The sequence below is a fragment of the Homo sapiens genome, chromosome 6 (assembly GCF_000001405.40).
Source record: "Homo sapiens chromosome 6, GRCh38.p14 Primary Assembly".
Lineage (NCBI taxonomy): Eukaryota > Metazoa > Chordata > Mammalia > Primates > Hominidae > Homo > Homo sapiens.
The window spans coordinates 155,131,422-155,152,766 of record NC_000006.12 but is presented as its reverse complement, the minus strand read 5'-3'; the positions used below and the strand labels follow the sequence as shown (position 1 = coordinate 155,152,766).

Below are 21,345 nucleotides of genomic sequence, written 5' to 3'. Positions count from 1 at the left end.
CTTTTCTCTCCCTAGCCCTAAACATCTGACCCTACCCAAAGACCTGAAAACTCCAAGCTGGGCATCCCTTCGACTACGATTATGGTCAGGATGAGATTTTTGACTGGGGTGCTCTGAACACTCTGAGACACTCGGATCCACAAGTCTCATCTCAGGATAGACAGGCTGTGGCTGCCGGATCCTGGAAAATCAGCACCATGGATGAGACATGGTACAAAGAAAACTCTGGGATAACCGTGTCTCCTTCAGGCTCTTTGATCTGTCCCATCACCTCCACATGGACTCCCAACCTACATTCCACACAGACAGAGAGCGGGGAGGTACGGCTGCACTGCCTCGGGAGCTGAACGCCCCCTGGCTGTGAGCAGGGTGAGGCCCCTTAAGAGGGGCAGGCAGGGCCTGAGAGGAGGCAAGCTGGGCTCGTGGGGGCAGCTCTCCCTCAGCAATGTCAGCAGCTGTGTTCTTGTTGGATCCCAAAGCCTTCCACCTCCTGCATTCTTCTTGGCAGTTTTGGCTTCCTCGTTAAAACTATTTTGTACTTTGGAGTTTAAATGGCATATCCTGGTTGAGCAACAGTTCCGCTCAGGGGTGTAAGTTACTGTCTTTAAGATTCTAAAAAATTGAGATTAGCCGTGGTGGCTTACACCTGTAATCCCAGCACTTTGGGAGGCTGAGGCAAGCGGATCACCTAAGGTCAGAGTTCGAGACCAGCCTGACCAACATGGTGAAACCCCGTCTCTATTAAAAATACAAAATTAGCCGGGCGTGGTGGCGGGCGCCTGTAATCCCAGCTACTCAGGAGGCTGACGCATGGGAATCGCTTGAACCTGGGAGGTGGAGGTTAAGATGAGCCAAGATCACACCATTGCAATCCAGCCTGGGCATCAAGAGCAAAACTCTGTCTCAAAAAAAAAAAAGAAAAAAAAAGAAAAAAAAAAGATTCTATAGAATTACAGAAAATTATGTACCCTGTTATACATTTTCCATGTAAACTGTTGAACTTGTGTCACTTGGGACCAGGCCCTTGTATCTATACACCCAGCACAGTGCCACTCCACTGCCTGACACCTTTTGCCCCACTCTGTCCTCCAAGCTGCTGCCTGATTAATCTTCCAAAGACACTACAGTCATCATGCTTTGTCCTCAGCTTAAAAACCTGTATCCCCCCACCTGAAAGCAGAGTATAAAATAAACCTTACCATCTGAGCCTTGCATACAAGACCACTATGGGCTGAATGTGTCCCTCCGAAATATGTACGTTGAAATCTTAATGCTTTAGGTGATGGTATTAGGAAGTGGGGCCTTTTTAAAAGGGGCAATGATTAGGTCATTGTTTGGAGTGCAATTTATGGGTATAGTGTAAATATGTTATCACAGTTAGTTTGTAAGTGCAGATGTCTGCCAGAATGCCCAAATCTGTTTAGACCAACTGCATTGGGATATTCCAATTTGAGACGACATCACATGCTAGGGCGCACCAACCTTCAAGATAACCAGACACAGGTGGATCCCCAAACAGGGACTATAAAAAGAGAAGCCCTCAGGCAGCTCGACCTGCTCTGCTGAGACACAGACTCGTGAGGATGAGATGCTGCCACTCAGAAAGGGACCCGGAGTCAGGCTTGCCATCTCCTTGACTGAATGCTTCAGCCTCAACATTCCAGCCTTGATACCAGGGGAAGCTATTCCCAGATGCCTGAGGACTTCTGTGACCAATCCTGTGCCTATTCATGTAAGATCCCCGACTTGTTCCTAACAGGGTGAAAAACAAGAGTTGTGTGTAGCGTGAATGGGGATAAAATACCAATATCTGTTAAGAACTGTTTGCGTGCCAACAAACTGTGTGATTCAAGCATTAAGTTACGGTGTCTTTCATCCTTCACTGCTTAATCCACTGCGCACGACAGTCATAATGGTGAGCCCTCGTGAATAGGATGGATGGCCTTATAAAACGCGGCCCGGAAAGATCCCTCGCTCCTCATGTCATGCTAGAATACAGTTAAGAAGATGCTTCTAGAAACCAGAAAGCAGGGCCTCACCAGACACTGAATCTGCCGGCATCTTGATCTTGGACTTCTCAGCCTTCAGAACTCTGAGAAATAAATTGCTCTTGTTTATAAGCCACCCGCTTTACAGTATTTTGTTCCAGACTAAGACACAGACTGAAAAAGCTTCATTGCCTATCCAACCTAACTGCCAACTCTTGTCACTTCCCAAACCTTTGACTCCAGTGTGCTCCAGAGCCCCAAGCCACCACTCAGTCACTTCCAATTGTCTCTCCATGCTCGCCCAACACCCTTCCAGCCTGGAAATCCTTCACACCTCTTAACAACTTTTTAACACCATATTCTTCCAGGAAGTCTTCATTTCCTCAAGATCACAGTACAACCTCAACCCTCTGATCTCCCATAATATTTGATGACTATACCAGCTGTCACCTAACTTCGATCATTTTAGAATGACCTTTAGTTTCATGTTCATAAGGCTTGCTCTCTAACTAAATTATAATTTCTTAGAAACGGGGTCCATATTTTACAATTATTTTTATTTCTTTAAGCCAGGTGCATCTATTAGGTACACCAGTATTTGCAGATGGGAAAATAAGCAGGAGGGAAAGAGCTGAGATGGGAGAAAGGCAACATGAGATATGAGAAAAGGAGAAGCAAAGGTAGATAGAGTGAGAAGATTAATGAGGGGCAGAGGTCGGAATTATTTGGTTATTTTGCTATTGCCAATTGATACATTATTCCAAATTCTCGGTGTATCATTGAATGCATGCCTTTAATCAGTTTCCTATTTTTAGACAGAAATTTTTTCCTACTCATGCTGAATTCTTTTTTTTTTTTTATACAGAGTCTCACTCTTCCCCCAGGCTAGAGTGCAGTGCACAATCTTGGTTCACTGCAACCTCTGCCTCCCAGGTTCAAGCGATTCTCCTGCCTCAGCTTCCAGAGTAGCTGGAATTACAGGCGCCCACCACCGTGCCCAGATAATTTTTGTATTTTTAGTAGAGATGGGGTTTCACCACGTTGGCCAGGCTGGTCTCAAACTCCTGACCTCAGGTGATCTGCCCACCTCGGCCTCCCAAAGCGCCGGGATTATAGGCGTCAGCCACCATGCCCAGCCTCATGCTGAATTCTTCATATATACACAGATGAAAAAACTTCCAAACAAGGTTAAACATTCAGACATAAACAGAGGTATTATTTAATTTGCAATTTAAATAAAACACCACATGTAAAATTCCTTTCTAATAAGTCACACTATGTCTAAATTGTTGTGTTACCATGAAATTTTTTTTCCTAAAGAAACTGGTTTCTCTGTAATAACTTAACAAGTAACTAAAGGAAGAAAAATGCAAGAACCTGCTCACTATCTATCTTCATCCCATTCCTCATTCAAGTTCCCAGGTCATTTGACAACTGGTTTTGGAGGGGGCTGTAGTGGATTCTATAGTGAATCACCCGGATTCCCCCTTCAAGACAGAGGCATTGCTTTCCTTTTCCCAGCTCACACACAGATCCCCTCGTGGTAACTCACCTCTATTGAGGGGAGCTGCCTTGCCCTGCTGGCCTGAGGGGACGAAGGCCGGCCACCCTGCCTCCATGCAGAGCTCTGAATGGCCCTCCCAGCTCCACAGCTCGCTGTGGGACAAGCTGCATCACAATGCAACTTGTCCCTCCCAGATCCTGCTCCCTCACTCCAGGCTGGCGTTGTCCCTGAGAGCATTCCCAGTAAAACTTTTTACATCTAAATCACTATCAAAGTCTGTCTCCTAGGAAACCTGACTAAGATAGGGATGCTCGAAATTCCACTAACACTTGTCTAAGTGTTTAGGTTGTCTGAGCAAAGGGAAATAAAAATTTTCAAACTGTTTTCCCTTCTCTAAAATGCAAATGCCATAGGAAGCAGCCATTTATTATATGAATATGGAACCGCAGCAGAGAAAAGAAAGCATTTCGTTACGTGCTTCTCTGTTATAACCAGAAAAATTACTGTTTTTTTGCAATCCATAGACACAGAAACAGCTGTTACACCAAACCACGTTTTCCAAAGCTATTGTATTAGAATCTTACCTGTCTAATCTTCTAGTGGTTTTATTGTATGGATTTTGTTCAGAAAATGACAATATATGAGTGAATCATCAAGGCCAGAAGGCACTATTCAAATTAGGAATTAAGTTTGGGTCACAAAATATTTCAGTATATACATAGAGCCGCCAAAGGTCATAAAGCATATCATATCACCCATGTCACAAAATGGCAAACATTAGGTACCTAAAATGAAAAACCACAGAAATTATTTCCCCCAGGGTGTAAGAAATACCACCAAGATGTGAGCCAAGAAATACCACCAAGATGACAGCATGCGTTCAGTCACTGCACAAGTGACATGAGCAATGGAAGAAAACTCAGGTGTAGACAAACAGTACCTGGTTCTCTATGGCTTTCCTGTTCTTTGGGTCGCTCACCACGGACAGCTGCAGCTCTGCCATCTTCTTCATCTTGCTGTCCATGTCTATCTTCTGAAGCAGGTTTTTGGTCTGGTTCTTCAGCAGCCGCAGCGTGTCCTCTTTCCCATGCTTCTTTGCAAAAAGGGATGCACAAGCAGAGTGTACAGCAGTGACCCAGTTTTCTAGATCTGTCTGGCTGGTGGCCTACACACAGGGAGGGAGAAAGCCTGTTTCGAATCATTTTACCACTAAAGTGCTCTCCAAAATGGCAGGCTGGGCTTAGATGTACAAAACCCAAGAAGTACTTGCACTGCATACAAGCTGCTTAATTTCAAAAACACATTCAACCATTCAACTCAGGTTCAGAGGGACTCAGAGAACATTAGGAGCAGAGCAGAAAGCATCATGGAGCTCTGACTAGGACAGGAACTAAAACCAGAAACGAGTGCTAGCCAACAACACAGGAGTGATAAGAACAACAGGGGAGACACACTCATGATACATTACGCCACTCTCTAAAAGGATGCTTGGCCAGGCACGGTGGCTCACGCCTGTAATCCCAGCACTTTGGGAGGCTGAAGCAGGTGGATCACCTGAGGTCAGGAGTTCGAGACCAGCCTGGCCAATATGGTGAAACCACATCTCTACTAAAATACAAAAATTAGCCGGGCGTGGTGGCGCATGCCTGTAAGCCCAGCTACTTGGGAGGCTGAGACATGAGAATCACTTTGACCTGGGAGGCGGAGGTTGCAGTCAGCCAAGATCACGCTACTGCACTCCAGCCTGGGTAACAGAGTGAGACTCTGTCTCAAAAATAAATAAATAAATAAAACACAAAAATTAGCCGGGTGTGGTGGTGCATGCCTGAAATCCCACCTACTCGGGAAGCTGAGACAGGAGAATCACTTGAGCCCAGGGGGCGGAGGTTGCAGTGAGCTGAGATCGTGCCACTGCACGCCAGCCTGGGTGACAGGGCAAGACTCAATCTCAAAAATAAATAAATAAATAAATAAATAAAAGGATACTTGTCTTCGGAATTTTAACAGAATGAGTAAACATTAGGACTAGAATATGAAATTTTGAAACCTGGATATAAAATTACATCTACAGTATGGCCTCAATACAAAAAAAAAAAAAGAACAATGTAAATAAAAGTATATTGGGGGGAAACAAAATAATGCTATTGTCTTTGAATATATCAAGGTTTTTCCTTTCTCTATTTTTCAGTGACTTCTAACACAAAGACCACATACTATTTGTATAAAAGAAAAATAGTTTATTTTTGGCTGGGCACAGTGGCTCATGCCTGTAATCCCAGGACTTTTGAGTCCAGGAGTTCAAGACCAGCCTGGGGAACACAGTAAGTCCCCATGTCAATTAAAAAATAATAATAGGACAGGCGTGGTGGCTCACGCCTATAATCCTAGCACTCTTTGGAAGGCCAAGGCGAGCAGGTCACTTGAGGTCAGGAGTTCGAAACCAGCCTGGCCAACATAGTGAAACACAGTTTCTACTAAAAATACAAAAAAAAAAAAAAAAAAAAAATTAGCCAGGCATAGCGGCGGGCACCTGTAATCCCAGCTACTTAGGAAGCTGAGGGAGGAATTCAAGAATTGCTTGAACCGGGGAGGCAGAGGTTGCAGTGAGCTGAGATCACACCACTGTACTCCAGCCTGGGCAACAGAGCAAGACTCCATCTCAAATAATAATAATAATAATGATACATTTTTTAAAAGAAAAATATTTTAAAAACAATAAGCAAAGTTTGAATAAAGTGGGCAAATGGGTATGATTCTAAGCAGGCTGACAAGTACTTTCATTTCTCTTGATGTCTAGAAATAACCACACACATTCGAGTCACAGGGTCAAACCTCAAGTGGCCTCTGGGATCACAAAACAGAACACCTGGGAAAATTCTGTTGTTGTTGTTGCTAAGACAGGGTCTCACTCTGTCGCCTGGGCTGGAGTGCAGTGGCACAATCATAGCTCATTGTAACCTTGACCTCCTGAGCTCAAATGATCCTCAAGCCTCAGCCTCCCAAGTAGCTGGGACCACAGGTGCGCACCACCATGCCTGGCTAATTTTTTTATTGTTCTTTCGTAGAGATGGGGCCTCGCTATGCTGACCAAGCTGATTTCAAACTCCTCGCCACAAGCCATCCTCCTGCCTCAGCCTCCAAAGTGCTGGGATCACAGGCGGGAAAACTCTCAAAACTAAGGATGTTTTACCTGAATCACAAAATAAAACATTCATTTCACACTTGACCCTAAGAAATCCATGCAGATTTAATGTAACTTTTTGTTGTTGTTGTTTGTTTTTTTACCTTCCTTACAATTCAGACTAACATAAATTCATTACTTTGCTTTAAAGTATCATAGAAGGTTTTAAGCAACCTTTCTGTTAAGAAAAGGAAAATCAAATCTCAGGCCCTGGCTCTAGTAAGTTAAGTCAGGTTGGGAATGGCAGTACAATTAAAGGCCCAGGGAGCTTAACCCAGCACTGGGTAAGTGAGGGAGCACTTCTGAGCATTCTAGACTCCCAAAGTCAGCCTAGAGAACACTGTTGCTCTGCAGGGCTTCTGAGGGCACCCAGGACCATCCTTATGAGAGATCTAAACCCAAGCTTTACGAGGCTTTCCATGAAACTTCCAGTCAGATGTAACCTACGGCCAACACTGTGTGTATGTCAAGTGCTGGGTTTAGATGGGGGACATTTAAGAAGCACACTTCACTTCCCAGCTCTCACTCTCACCTGTTCTGAATTAATATTAATCACCAAGTTAAAATTTATTAAGCATTTAACACACACACGATGTCATTTACTCTTACGGCAATCATGTAAGCCACTATTATCCTACTGGTTGAAGGGCCCAAAGCTCAGAGAAGTCTGGTACGCGCTCCAAGATCACTTACAAACTCAACGCTAACAAAGGTGCCAGGATTCAAACCTAAGCCCGACCCCAATACCGATGGCTCAGTACCGCCATGTTCTACAACATCTCACTGGCTAAAAAGTCACTGAAAATTCTAACAGTAGATAACCTGAATCTTAAGATCCTAAGACCACTTCCACAGGGAAATGAGACCTCATAGCATTTGTCTATGAGGGTTTTCCTGAAAACTTTTGACATCCACTGAGATCCGTGGCAAGAACCCAAGCCTCTCCCATCAATATTCTCCAAGCTTCATTTTAAAAGCCCCAAATCTGGGAATCTTGACCATTGCGCTCACTAGATCGCCAGCTACTCCAGGACAGGGATCATGATTTTTTTCTCTTTGTGTCCCAATGAGCATCTCATGGGCCACAGCCTGGGACTTCAGAGGCACCTGAAAAGTGCCCTCTGGATGAATGACTGGATTGCTGATGGCCCAGTGCCCTTGGCAGTCAGCGGAAGCCAACATCTGTTGCTTAAGGCCAAATCCAAAGCCTAACTAAGTATTTATTCAATTTCATTTCCAAGTTTTGCCTTTTCTGTTCCTTCTTATTCTAGCAGTACATAAGCTATTACCTCCACTTACAAAGTACCAGCAGTACCTGGAAAAGGTAGACATCTCCAAAGGAGTTGCTGAGGCAGAACACATTTTCTTTCTTGGGATGCTCTGGAACAGACTGCACTATGCTGTCTTCTGCAAACAGAGCACACCGAGGGGCACTGCTCTGATCCATGGAATTCTTCCCATAGGTCTCATAAAACAGCAGCGTGCATCCTGTGAAACAGAGAAGCAAAATAACATCCCGGTCAGACCTGGAGATGCAGGAAAGGACTGGGAGGGTAAGTGACACACTTTTTTAAAAACACCTGAGTGAGACAATCATGTGACAGAAACATGGTAAACAAGGAAAAGTGGCATCTGAAGTACACCTAGTTGTATCAGAATGAACTTGAATGAAAATGAGATGTCTTTGTAAATGTAATATCAGTAATAACAATACCAAATAATAAGTTGTTGCTTAACTCTTCTAAGTACTCCACATGCACTGGCTTATTTAATCCCCATAGAGGCCCTAAGGTGGGCAGGGTTATTTAGCCCATTCTACTGTGACCCAAAAAGTATCTAGGACTGGTCTCGATCCATTGAGAAGTTTATTTTGCCAAAGTTGTGGACATGCCCGGAGGAAGAGAACACAGAATCACAGAAATAGTCTGTGGTCTGTGCTTTTCTCCAAAGACGATGTTGAGGGCTTCAGTGTTTAAAAATTAAAAGTGGGCTGGAGAGGAACGAGGGAGAGCATGGTAATCCACCTGCTGCAAGGGAAAAGGAGCAGGCAGGGGAACTGTCAATCACGTAATCATCCAGCACTTTACATAAGATAAGGTGAACACAGAGTAGCTAGCTACCTGTGGGGATATTTAACCTTTTATCTGTAGCTCCTGCTTAGAAAGAAAAGGAAAGGCAGCTTCTTGCATGACTCAGCTTTCGGCTTGTTTTTTTTTTCCTTCTGGCATCAGGAATTGGGGTCCCCAGGTTTTATTTTCCTTTCACACTAAAAATGAGAAAACTGAGAGATCGAATTCCTTGCAGGGGTCCCACCGCTGCACTGTGGAGCAGCAGGGATGTGAACTCAGGCCCTCTGGCCCCAAAGCCCTCATCCTTAAGCACAACACCACATTATTTAGGGAATCTCAATGTAAGAGGCCACAGAAAATCCCACACTCACTCACTCCGTTGACCATCAATGGGAACAAGAAACTGAACATACCTAGGGGACTTTGCCATTTATGAGAAAGTACCCGGTTTGTTCTCCAAATGCCATGTAAAATAACTTAATTTTTAGTATTTCCTTTTATCTCACAGTAATAGAAAACATTACTTAGGCTAAGGGAGAAAAGTGAAACTAATAGAAAACATTACTTAGACTAAGGGAGAAAAGTGAAACTAAATGTGCCTGAATTTTCAAACGTTACTCTAAAAATACTGCAACATATGCTTTTAAGTACTTACTCTTCCCCTCATAAGCAAATAAAGTATTGCAGGTAGAAGTTATTAAGAGTTTGCTTCATTAATTAGAAATTGCATTATAATTATTAGACACAATTTTTAAGCAAACTAATGCTTCTAAAATGCTCACAAATGTGTCCTCTTGTATAGGTTAACTATCCCCTCAAATCTGTATCCAATAAACTTTTTTGACCACTTCTCATGTGGCAACCTCCAGCATACGAATAACAATGACATGACCACCATCTGGGTGCTTCGCAAGTGCCTTTCACATTGACAGGAAAGAAACACCAGCCTGCCTTCACTGTAAACAAATGCCTGGGGCCCACTTCACGGTACTTTATCCTACTACTGTGTTTGCATCCTCATTCATAAAAGTTCAGACGTTTTGAAAACTATTTCAGTCTTTCCAATTTCATTACTTCCTTTAAAAATAAGTCTTGATATGAACAAACAAGTTTATACAATAGAACCGATAACAGCACATAGAAGCCAAGAGAGAAAGATGCCTGCTCCAAGCTTGGACTTCGGAAGCAGTACTTTCTCCCTCCATGGTACTTTATGATCTCAAGAAACTGCGCATTTGCTCCTCCCCGCAAATAAAACTCATCCAAACTAACAGGCTGACAGAACTCAAGTATTACAAACAAGGGAAAGTAGCAAGAGGTTTACAGCCAGAGCTGCTTCTTGCAGGCCTGGCCAGTATCTTTTTCCAGCCACTGATGCAGCAGTTAAACTATAAACCAAGTCTTCTCATCGAGTAAGGCCCATCTGATGCTACTGTTGCACATGCTACAAGCCATGACCCGGGGCCCGAGGACCAGGGCAAAGGGGCAGAGCAGCTCCAGCTGCACACACGTCCAAATTCTTTCCAATGGGTTCACGTTCACTTCCCAGCTTCCCTAACACTGGAATTCCAACAGCCATGGTTTAAATCGTGGCATCTAGAGGAAATGAATGCAAACCTTGGGCCAATGCCAAAATGTCACCAAACCTAACAACCCATGGACAACAGACTACCGCTCTAACTTGGAGGCATGAAATCAAAACAGGACATTTCACATTAGAGCCAGGCCAGGAAGTAAAACAATAGGCAGAATTTTGTGGCTATCAAATTTAAAAAATCAGGAAATCAATCTTAACTCTATGACATCAAGTTCAACTTCACGGGACTCTGCATCTCTAAGGGTGCACTGGGGCCAGTGGAAACGGGCTGCACCCGTGTCAGTGAAGCCTCTGCCATTCACCCCGGTGCTGGGGGCCCCCAACCCTGCCTTTGCCGTTCACCCCGATGCTGGGGGCCACCAGCCCTGCCTTGCCGTTCACCCCGGTGCTGGGGGCCCCCAGCCCTGTCCAGTCCCTACCAAGCGCTGGTCTTGGCTTGGAGGGGTCGTTGACACTGGACGTTCTTGCTATGGTAGCAGAAAGAGAAAACAGATTGGCATAGCAATGGCAGTACAAGAATAGAGACGTAATATTAGTAGAAATCTCACCCAGGGGAAAGAGGGCAATTAGTCTTGGTTTTCCCTCAAATCCACCTTTTCTATGAGACCCTTTTGATCTCCCATCCCTGCTGCTGGCCCATCTCAGGGCAGAATCACCAGTATTCTAAAATTAGTTTATGAACTCCTCCCCTGACACTGACTATCACTCAGTCTGTTGCACATTTTGAGGGATATGTTTAATGACCTTGCCAACTCTTCAGCCCAGGAAGTCCCCAGTGAACTGCATGAAAATCCACTCACTGGAAAAGACAAATGGAAAGCAGAATTACCCTTGTTGAAAATTTATTACATCCTCCAAAGCCTTGAAAAACATGTACGTCCCTCATATACCTATACATTCCAGGTAGGCAGATAACCAGATGGTTTGTTAATAACGGCTCTCTCCAGAAAACTGTCTCCCATTTATTTACATGGATACTTTAAGGATAATTTAAAAATTAGGCTTAAGAGTGTGTGTGTGTGTGTGTGTGTGTACACATATATGTGTTTTTAACTAAGATTAAACCAAACAGTTAAGTCCAAACATTACAACTTGGATTCTAAGCCAAGAAATTAGAACTCAACATACTGAATTCCCAGAGGAAAGAGGTGTAGAAAGCCACATGGAAAAGGTTACGCTGGGGAAAAAAACATCTTTATCACAAGTCTTGCCTTGGCTGCAAAGGAAAGGAAGAAATGTGTGCTTGATAACATTTATACTACAAAGCACCCTTTATCCATGGATCTTGAAGTGTTTTACAAGCAAACACCAGGAAAGCAGGACCTAGCCAAGACTACAAATCTAGCAATGCTCAGTGACAACTCAGGCCCATCACTACCCCTGAAGTTGGTAGCCAGAAGTTCCTGGTCTACCTTTTGGGATAAAATACAGGAAGCTGCCAATCAGCTCTTCCAGCCCTTAAGTGATATCTGCCTGAGTTTCCCTCAAGAAGCCTGCGACAATTTGGCTCTGGACAAATGTGGTCAGTAGCACAGAAATCAAAAAGGGAGCATCTTTCCACGTGCCCATGGCTGTCACTGTTGTTTTTTATATTAATTTAGAATCAGCCTGTCTCCCATCTATTAGTCCCATCCTAACCTCTGCAGACCCAGAATAAATTCAATGTCTCTTCTACACACTGCTGTTCACTCTCACCCAGTTCTTATTTTCTCCATGCTAAATATCCCTAGATCTTTATGCCCTCCTCCATCTAGCACGGCTCTAAATCTCCTTGTCATCACCTATGGCCCAGCCTCTCAAAGTGGTATATTCTCTCTCTCTCTCTCTCTCTCTCTCTCTCTCTCTCTCTCTCTCACACACACACACACACATACACACACAGTCACCCTGCCTCCCAGTCTAACCCCCACCACTAGGGTGATGTATACTGGGGGTTTTCAAATCCATAGACAGGCAGGGAAGAAATTCTCACAGAATTAATTTTAAGAAACAAATTTCACACTTAAAAAGTAGATACATGACAAATGATGGGGTAACGTGCATCCATTCTAAGTATTCACATCATGTGACTAGGAGGCAGCTTCAGACTATGATTCACAAACAGTCCCAGATGTTTACCCCTTAAGGGAACATGTTCACTCTCTCCCCATTTAGGGATCCTCCAGGACAACCTTTCAAGGATCAATTTCTCATTTCCTAACAAATCTCCTGCAATATTGTGCCCACAAGGAGGGAAACAACCAGCTCTGACCAGGGCAAAGAAAGGAGACACTGTCATCTCCTTTGCAAGAGATATAGCATTTCTAAGGAGGTAGCTGATGATCACATGACATCTCTAATGAGGTAGCTAAAGATCACATTTGCTCTTTGAAATCACATTTACCTTTTCAGCCACATCAACTTGGAAACACATGGCCTGCAAATTAAATCCCGACATCTTTTTCACTCATAATACTTGTTTTGGTTTGTTTGTTTGTTTGTTTGTTTTTGAGATGGAGTTTCACTCATCGCCCAGGCTGGAGTGCAGTGGCATGATCTCAGCTCTCTGCAACCTCCGCCTCCCAGGTTCAAGCGATTCTGCAGCCTCAGCCTCCTGAGTAGCTGGGATTACAGGAACCTGCCATCATGCCAGGCTAATTATTGTATTTTTAGTAGAGATGGGGTTTCACCATGTTGGCCAGGCTGGTCTCAAACTCCTAACCTCAGGAGATCCACCCGCCTCGGCCTCCCAAAGTGCTGGGATTACAGGTGTGAGCCACCACACCTGGCCTCACTCATAATAGTTTGCAGCCACATTTCCCTATCCTGTCCTTGGGTAGCTATCTGACTTTTAAACCTTAAAGCAGAACTTTCTTATCTCTTTAAATGTTAATCCTGCCAGATTCAACCCATTATTCTACCTTTCCAAATTGTTTCTGTCATTCAATACAGAAATCTGCCTCGCCAGTATGGAAAAACTGGGGACGTTCTTTACCTTCCTCAGCCAGCCACAATGTCTACAAGCATCCAAATCTAGGGATGGAAAAGAGGACTGCAGCGTGTGAGGAATGCTGGGCCCCTGGGCTTTGTACACCCGCCGGCCTGCTAGGAAAAGGTATCACTTGGATATGAAATGCCTTTGCAAGTGCTCCTTTACCAGAGGTGCCAGAGGGGCTTGTGGTAACGAAGGCATGATGCCTGCCCTCCACGGTTGGGGAAGCAGGGCTCCAACTGTTCGATAAGGGGCAAAGAAAAGCTAGAAAGGGGTAATTGAGAGGGCACTGGACATTGCACACGTAGTATTTGCAGATGTTTCTGCTCTCTCCTGTGACAGGGAAGGGCATCACTTGACGATGAGGTTTGGCTTTTGAACAACACACTCAGCTCCTCTGACAAAGAGTCCCAGGGGGCTGTGCAGAATGCCAGAGGCTGCGAGGCCGCTCTGGGTGCATCTGCATAAATCAACGCTGTACAGATTTGGAGCTTCTCTCTTCCTCAAGGCAATTATAGTTTTTAAATGGCAATGCTTATAAAAAACTTTTCTCATGTCAACAAAACAAATTCTCACTTCTATTGCCTTTATGTTTAAAAAAAAAAGACAGCTGGTCCATCAATGATAGACTGGATTAAGAAAATGTGGCACATATACACCACAGAATACTATGCAGCCATAAAAAAGGATGAGTTCCTGTCCTTTGCAGGGACATGGATGAAGCTGGAAACCATCATTCTCAGCAAACTATCACAAGGACAGAAAACCAAACACCGCATGTTCTCACTCATAGGTGGGAATTGAACAATGAGAACACATGGACACAGGGCAGGGAACATCACAAACTGGGGCCTGTTGAGGGATGGGGGAATGGGGGAGGGATAGCATTAGGAGATATACCTAATGTAAATGACGAGTTGATGGGTGCAGCAAACCAACATGGCACACATATACCTATGTAACAAACCTGCATGCACATTGTGCACATGTACCCTAGAACTTAAAGTATATTAAAAAAAAAAAAAGACGGCTGCACTTGTTAGTGATGACAACAAACAGACTTTGTTCATAAAGCTGGAATGACAAATCAATAATCCAGATGATAATCTTAGTTGCACAAGCTGGAAAGAAAACCTCTTTGGAGTTCTGAACATGTACGGAATGTGAAATTCAGAAGCTGCCTTCCAAACAACTAAACTACCTTTGGTTACTGACTTTTTTTTCTCCAAATCCAGCGAAAATGGTACAGGCATACCTATAAATAAGCTAAATACCTATGAAATAAGCAATAAGTATTAAATCCAACCATTATAATAGGCCGGGTGCAGTGGCTCATGCCTATAATCCCAGCACTTTGGGAGGCCAAGGTGGACAACCTGCTTGAGGTCAGGAGTTATGAGAGCAGCCTGGTCAACATGAAGAATCCCCATCTCTACTAAAAATTAGACAAAACTTAGCCAGGTGTGGTGGCCCACGCCCATAATTCCAGCTACTCAGGAGGCTGAGGCACGAGAATTGCTTGAGCCTGGGAGGCAGAGGTTGCAGTGAGCTGAGATCCTGCCATTGCACTCCAGCCTGGGCAACAAAGCAAGACTCTGTCTCAAAAAAAATAAAAACAAGTAAAAAATCCACTAATTATTTATTGAACTGCATAATACATGTGAATAGTAGGTAAAGCCTATTTCACGGGTGTGAGAAAGTATCTGCATGAAGGCAGCCCATGGATCCTGTGTCAAACCCCTCATGTGAACTCAAATCAATGCTAGTCTCTTGGCACTTCCTGGCAAAGAGCACGGCTGGCGGAAACAATCCCCAGTGGCCTCAGCAGGTGACACTGCACTCACCTTTCAGCGTTACCCAGTACTGTTTCCATTTCCTTCGTGCCACCAGCTCAAGCTTCCTTTCCTTCTGCACAGTGACCAGGGGCTTGAAGAAGAGCCACCCGGCCTTCCGGACCACCCCCTGTTCCTTCTCAAAGAGCAGATCCAGCTGTTCCAGAGAGCTGAGTGACTCGCTGCTGGACTCGGCGGTTTCTGTAGATGTTTCTATGTTCTCAGTGTTGGTCCTGCTCATTTCCAACTCTCGCATGAAATTCTCATAAATGTTCTGCCGGAGGGGATCGCTGCCAATCGCATGTGTGGATTCACTTCTCTGAGACAGGATCTGAGTAGAGCCCCCTGACCACAGAAAAGCAGATGCCTGGGAGGATCCCTGCACATCTGTATTCAGTCCATCAGAGCGACTGTCAAAGTAGTCACTGCCCTCCTTGGACCTCGGCTCCTGTGAGAAACACACATGATCACCCATCAGAGCTTACGGCTATCCAAAGCATCCCTTCTTGCACACAGCATAAGTGTAATACCAGTGGCTGCTGATAATGTAATGCAAAGCAAGATTCTTGTAACAAAAATACATCTTTAACCATCAAGTCTTCATACCAGAAAGAATTTTAAAAATAGTGTTGCCCAAGTCAATTTATATCCAGTAGAATTAGCACTTAAAGAGGTAAATAAAATACAAATGGCTCTCCTAAATCTAACCTATGCTTAGCATCGAGAAATTAACTAGTATGTTTACAACACACTAGTGAAGATTACTAGAATGATATTTCTTTCTTCATTGCTAACCATGAATCAGTATCTTCCAGGAAAGAATTCATATTCTTGCAATTTATTTTTTCCCTGGATCATTTGAAAGGTAAATTAGAAAATTACTATACCAGGGTAGGGTGGGGAAGACAGGGACTCAGTATTGTTATGCAAAACCCAAAAACTTCTCTTCCTCTCCCTATAGTCCCCAGCTTCTGGCCAAGTGCCCAGGTCTAGACTTCTAGACTTTGAGATCTCTAGTATCTTATTTTCCCAGTTCATATAGTAAAAATAATAGATGGCGAGGTGGCTCATGCTTGTAATTCTAGCACTTTGGGAGGCCGAGGCAGGTGGATCACCTGAGGCCAGGAGTTCAAAACCAGCCTGGCCAACATGGTGAAACCCGTCTCTACTAAAAATACAAAAATTAGCCAGGCCTGGCGGTGAGCACCTGTAATCCCAGCTACTCAGGGGGCTGAGGCAGGAGAATCACCTGAACCTGGAAGGCAGAGGTTGCTGTGAACCAAGATCAGGCCATTGCACTCTAGCCTGGGCAACAAGAGCGAAACTCCATCTCAAAAATAATAACAATAATAATACACTTAGGATTCCTTATCTATGAAGGGTACTGGCTAGTAACTATAGCTTTTTTGTTTTTCTTTTTTTTTTTTTTTGAGATGGAGTTTCGCTCTCATTGCCCAGGCTGGAGTGCAATGGCGCAATCTTGGCTCACTGCAACCTCTGCCTCCTGGGTTCAAGTGACTCTCCTGCCTCGGCCTCCCAAGTATCTGGGATTACAGGCATGCGCCACCACACCTGGCTAATTTTGTATTTTTAGTAGAGACACGGTTTCTTCATGTTGGTCAGGCTGGTCTCAAACTCCCAACCTCAGGTGATCCGCCCACCTCAGCCTCCCAAAGCGCTGGGATTACAGGCATGAGCCACCGCGCCCGGCCAGTTTTTTTCATAATTAATATTTCTTACTTAGAGAATTACTTTCATGAAAAAAATATACCCATTTATTCATTCACATCCTTTCATTTGAGTACCTATTTTATTCTAGGTACTGGAGATATCAAAGACATGATTCTTAACTGCAGTATTTACTCCAACACAAAAATCAAACACAGGTAGCTCTAAATACAATGCATACTTATATAATAATGTTGCTCCCTGTGAGGACCAGGTGCATTGAACATCAAGCTGGCCATGCACAGAGCTGAAAACATAAAGACATTTCTCTAATATCTGGATTAGAAGTCTAGTCACTGAAGAAAAATAATTTGCATACAGGCTTTTCACTGGTAAATGGCAGTAATTAAAATTTTCAGCATAAAGTGAGCTTAACTTCTGACTCAAAAGGCACTGACATTCAACATTTATGGCTTAAATGAAGATAACTCTGCAGAGACGCCAAGCACACTCAAGACTACTCAGCTGCTAGTGGGCTTTTGATTATATTTTCTTATGCATTAAAATAAAAATGATGGAAAACTGGGTCAAGGACCATTGACTAAAGGCCTTATTTTGAATATTACATTGTATAGAGAGGTTTCCTTTTCAGAAATTTCATCCAAAAATCAAGTTGCAATTACTTGCTGTTTTGTAAGAGAATAATCACACAACTGGAGAGTACTTCCAAATACCCAGGAGCCATGAACAACTGCGCCCCAAGCAGATATTACAAATAGAAATATGATTTGCCACTGTTTACACTGCATCTCCAGTCATATTTATTTATACACTGATGCTTATGCATAACAGAGCAAATAAACCAGCTGTTGTGAGTCACTTGGACAGGAAACTTTAGAAATACTTAGAGTTTTTTTTTTAATTGTCAATTTGTTGCTTTTCAAAAACTCCTGGCTGGGCTCGGTGGCTCACGCCTGTAATCCCAGCACTTTGGGAGGCTGAGGTGGGCAGATCATGAGGTCAGGAGATCGAGACCATCCTGGCTAACACGGTGAAACCCCGTCTCTACAAAAAATACGAAAAATTAGCCAGGTGCGGCGGCACATGCCTGTAGTCCCAGCTACTTGGGATGCTGAGGCAGGAGAATCGCTTGAACCCGGGAGGCGGAGGTTGCAGTGAGTAGAGATCACGCCACTGCACTCCAGCCTCGGCGACAGAGCGAGACTCTGTCTCAAAAGAAAAACAAAACAAAAAAACAAAAAACTCCTAAAAGGTGAAGAAACACTTCTCATCTAGCTAGTATTAACATTATCTCAGTTATAAATATGTCCCTCTGACTCATCGCCCAAAAACACTGGAATTACCTCTGATACCCTGCAAGGGCCATGACGGAATATGCTTCAAAACAAGCCCAATTCTGCCACAGAAAGGCACAGAAGTCCCAAAGTTAAGTGTGACCTACACACACTCTTGACACTGCTTCTCAACTTACAGTGCCAACTTTTAAATGTTTAACCATAGCAAAGCAAGGAGTTTTCTTTTTCAGAAATGGGGGGGGGTGGGGGGATGCATTTTAGCATTTATAACTTATTCTTATACATAGGTATGAACTCTCCCAGTCTCTAATAAATTTCCAAATCTTTTTATCTAGAATCCTAATAGCCAGTCACTAATTTTCAGGCTAATAAAAAAGAGCCTTTAAAAAATATAGAATGTCTTTAAATAGGTTCAGCTAGAATTCTTAATCATCTGTTATGCGGATGAAACTAAGGTGCCTGCTATATATATATATATACACACACACACAAATCATACGATTTCCATTTCCATACAAGTGACTTCACTTCCATCAAATCGAATAATCAGAAACAAGGGCTAATGTAACTTGATGACTAGGGCAGTACAGCAGAGTGGAGATGAGTAAAGACTCAAGAGTAAAAACTCAAGCCAGGTGGCTCACGCCTGTTATCCCAGCACTTTGGGAGGCCGAGGAGGGTGGATCACCTGAGGTCGGGAGTTCGAGACCAGCCTGACCAACATGGAGAAACCCCGTCTCTACTAAAAACACAAAATCAGCTGGGGGTGGTGGCACACGCCTGTAATCCGGATCAGCTACTCAGGACGCTGAGGCAGGAGAATCGCTTGAGTGAGCCGACATGGCGCCACTGCACTACAGCCTGGGCAAAAAGAGCAAGACTCCATCTCAAAAAAAAAAAAGAGTAAAAACTCAAGAGATGTCACTCTACAGAAAGACATGCACTGCAAGATTCCACTTATACGTGGAATCTGAAATAGTCCAACTCATTGAAGCAGAGAGTACAATGGTGGTTGCCAGGGGCAGGAGAGGGCAATGGGAAGATGCTGCTCAAAGGGTACAAAGCTTCAGTTTTGCAGGAGGAATAAGTTCTGGAGCTCTAAGGTAAATTATGGTGACTACAGTTAATAACACTATATTCTATGCCTGAAATTTGCTAAGAAGGTACTTTTTTTAACAGAGAGACTCCATCTCAAAAAATAAATAAATAAAATAAAATAAATAATAAAATTCTAATTCCTTGATTCTAACCAGTTTTTTGTTGTTGTTGCTGTTTTGTTGTTGTTGTTGTTGTTGAGATGGAGTCTCACTCTGTTGCCCAGGCTGGAGTGCGCTGGCGTGATCTCAGCTCACTGCAACCTCCACCTCCCAGGTTCAAGCGATTCTCCTGCCTCTGCCTCCCAAGTAGTGGGACTAACAGGCACATGCCAGCATGCCCAGCTAATTTTCATTAGAGATGGGATTTCACCAAGTTGGCCAGGTTGGTCTCAAACTCCTGACCTCCAGTGATCCGCCTGCCTCAGCCTCCCAAAGTGCTGGGATGACAGGCGTGAGCCACCACACCCGGCCCTAACCGGTTTGTTTTTAACTCTACAGGCACACAATTCAGAGTTAAGTTTTTGGACAATGCAGAATTGAAGGAGACCCAGTTCCCGTGGGTAGGAGACGCAGGGAGGGTAACTTGACAGGAGAGGCAAGGAGGGATACTTACCCGTGATAGAATGATTCATACACAGCAGCCACTGGTCTACATCTGAACCAAGTGGGAACTGTCACTGAATGCAGCTCACTAGAGCCGCGTGTAAGCCAGGCCACATATACAGATGAGCAACAAACTCAGTGCACATAAGAGATGCAGAATCATTGGCTCGATGCCACCACCAATTAGGGGACACAGTGGATGACAGCTGAACACAGGTGGGCACCATAACACTTGAATCAAAAAGGCGTGGACGTTGTCCACCTGGGACTTCAGCCCTCAAGTAAGCAGAAGCTGCGTCTCCCATTATGCTCAGTGGGGATCAGTTGTTTAGGAAATGGGAGCTGAGAGAAAAAAGTCAAGGAAATCTCTACTATTTTGTGGTTTAGTCTGAAAAAGTGATGATCCAGGAGTAAAATCACTATACAAATTACTACAATATATTCAGGGATATGAAGAGGCCCTGAAAACAGGATGCTGATCATCTGTTCTTCACCTCTGTGTGAAGGAAGAGGAGGGAGAACCGAAGCCCAGCACAGGAGGGGGTGGTGGAGGCAGACACGCTATATACATCAGAAGGAAGTAACGAAAGTCAAACTTCATAAATCTGAAGCAATCTACTCAAAAAAGTTATATTATTTTCCACCCCTAAATCTCTATATAATTTTATAATTTTATGTCTATCTAGGATGCAATTCTGCTAGAGACTAACTGCCCACACAAATTCCCTTCAACTCCATGACTTATACAGAGTAATTTAAAAAGAAGCTTCTCCCCTATATAAATAATCAAAAATAAAAACAAATAACAAAACAACAACAAACTGAAAATCTAGCAATTGCCACTAATTACCTAAAAAGGCAAACTATCACTTTTCTTCCTGGTGGATAAGCCACTTTGCTCCCCCAGTAAAACTTTACATGCCATGATACAGAAGTATATTCATCATTCTTATTTTATCAGTTTTATCAGTATATATATTTTTCTATTACATGCACTTAGGTACAAGATATTTTCAGGATGCCATTAGCTATCTCCATGAGGAGGTTAAGATTACACATATAGGCCGGATGTGGTGGCTCACGCTTGTAATCCCAGCATGTTGGGAGGCCGAGGCAGGTGGATCACCTGAGGTCAGGAGTTCCAGACCAGCCTGGCCAACATGGTGAAACCCCGTCTCTACTAAAATACACAAATTAGCCAGGCATGGTGGTGCACGCCTGTAATGCCAGCTACTCAGGAGGCTGAGGCAGCAGAATCGCTTGGACACGGGAGGCAGAGGTTGCAGTGAGCCAAGATCGCACCACTGTACTCCAGCCTGTACAACGGAGCGATACTCTGTCTCAAAAAAAAGAAAAAAAAAAAAGATTACACATGTAGATATATCATCAACTTTTTTTTTTGATGTACCAACTTAAGCATAGAAATTTTAATTTCATCAGAGTAATATCAAGTTCAACAAGCCTATTCAACCAAAAATAATGACAATCTCAACTGTTTTATTTGGACTGTAAGAATGAG

At 43.7% G+C, this 21,345-nt stretch overlaps 1 protein-coding gene across 3 annotated transcripts in view; it reads right to left on the bottom strand.

The window, feature by feature from the left end:
* The window catches only part of TIAM2 (TIAM Rac1 associated GEF 2), a 262,409-nt gene that overhangs the window by 104,957 nt on the left and 136,107 nt on the right, over nucleotides 1-21,345 (bottom strand). For all 3 annotated transcript variants that reach the window (NM_012454.4, NM_001384546.1, NM_001384547.1), the window contains 3 exons: nucleotides 15,155-15,590; nucleotides 7,989-8,161; nucleotides 4,433-4,657 (listed from right to left, as the gene is read on the bottom strand). In NM_012454.4, coding sequence (NP_036586.3) covers nucleotides 4,433-4,657; nucleotides 7,989-8,161; nucleotides 15,155-15,590 — 834 coding nt within the window. The remainder of the gene's footprint in view (nucleotides 1-4,432; nucleotides 4,658-7,988; nucleotides 8,162-15,154; nucleotides 15,591-21,345) is intronic.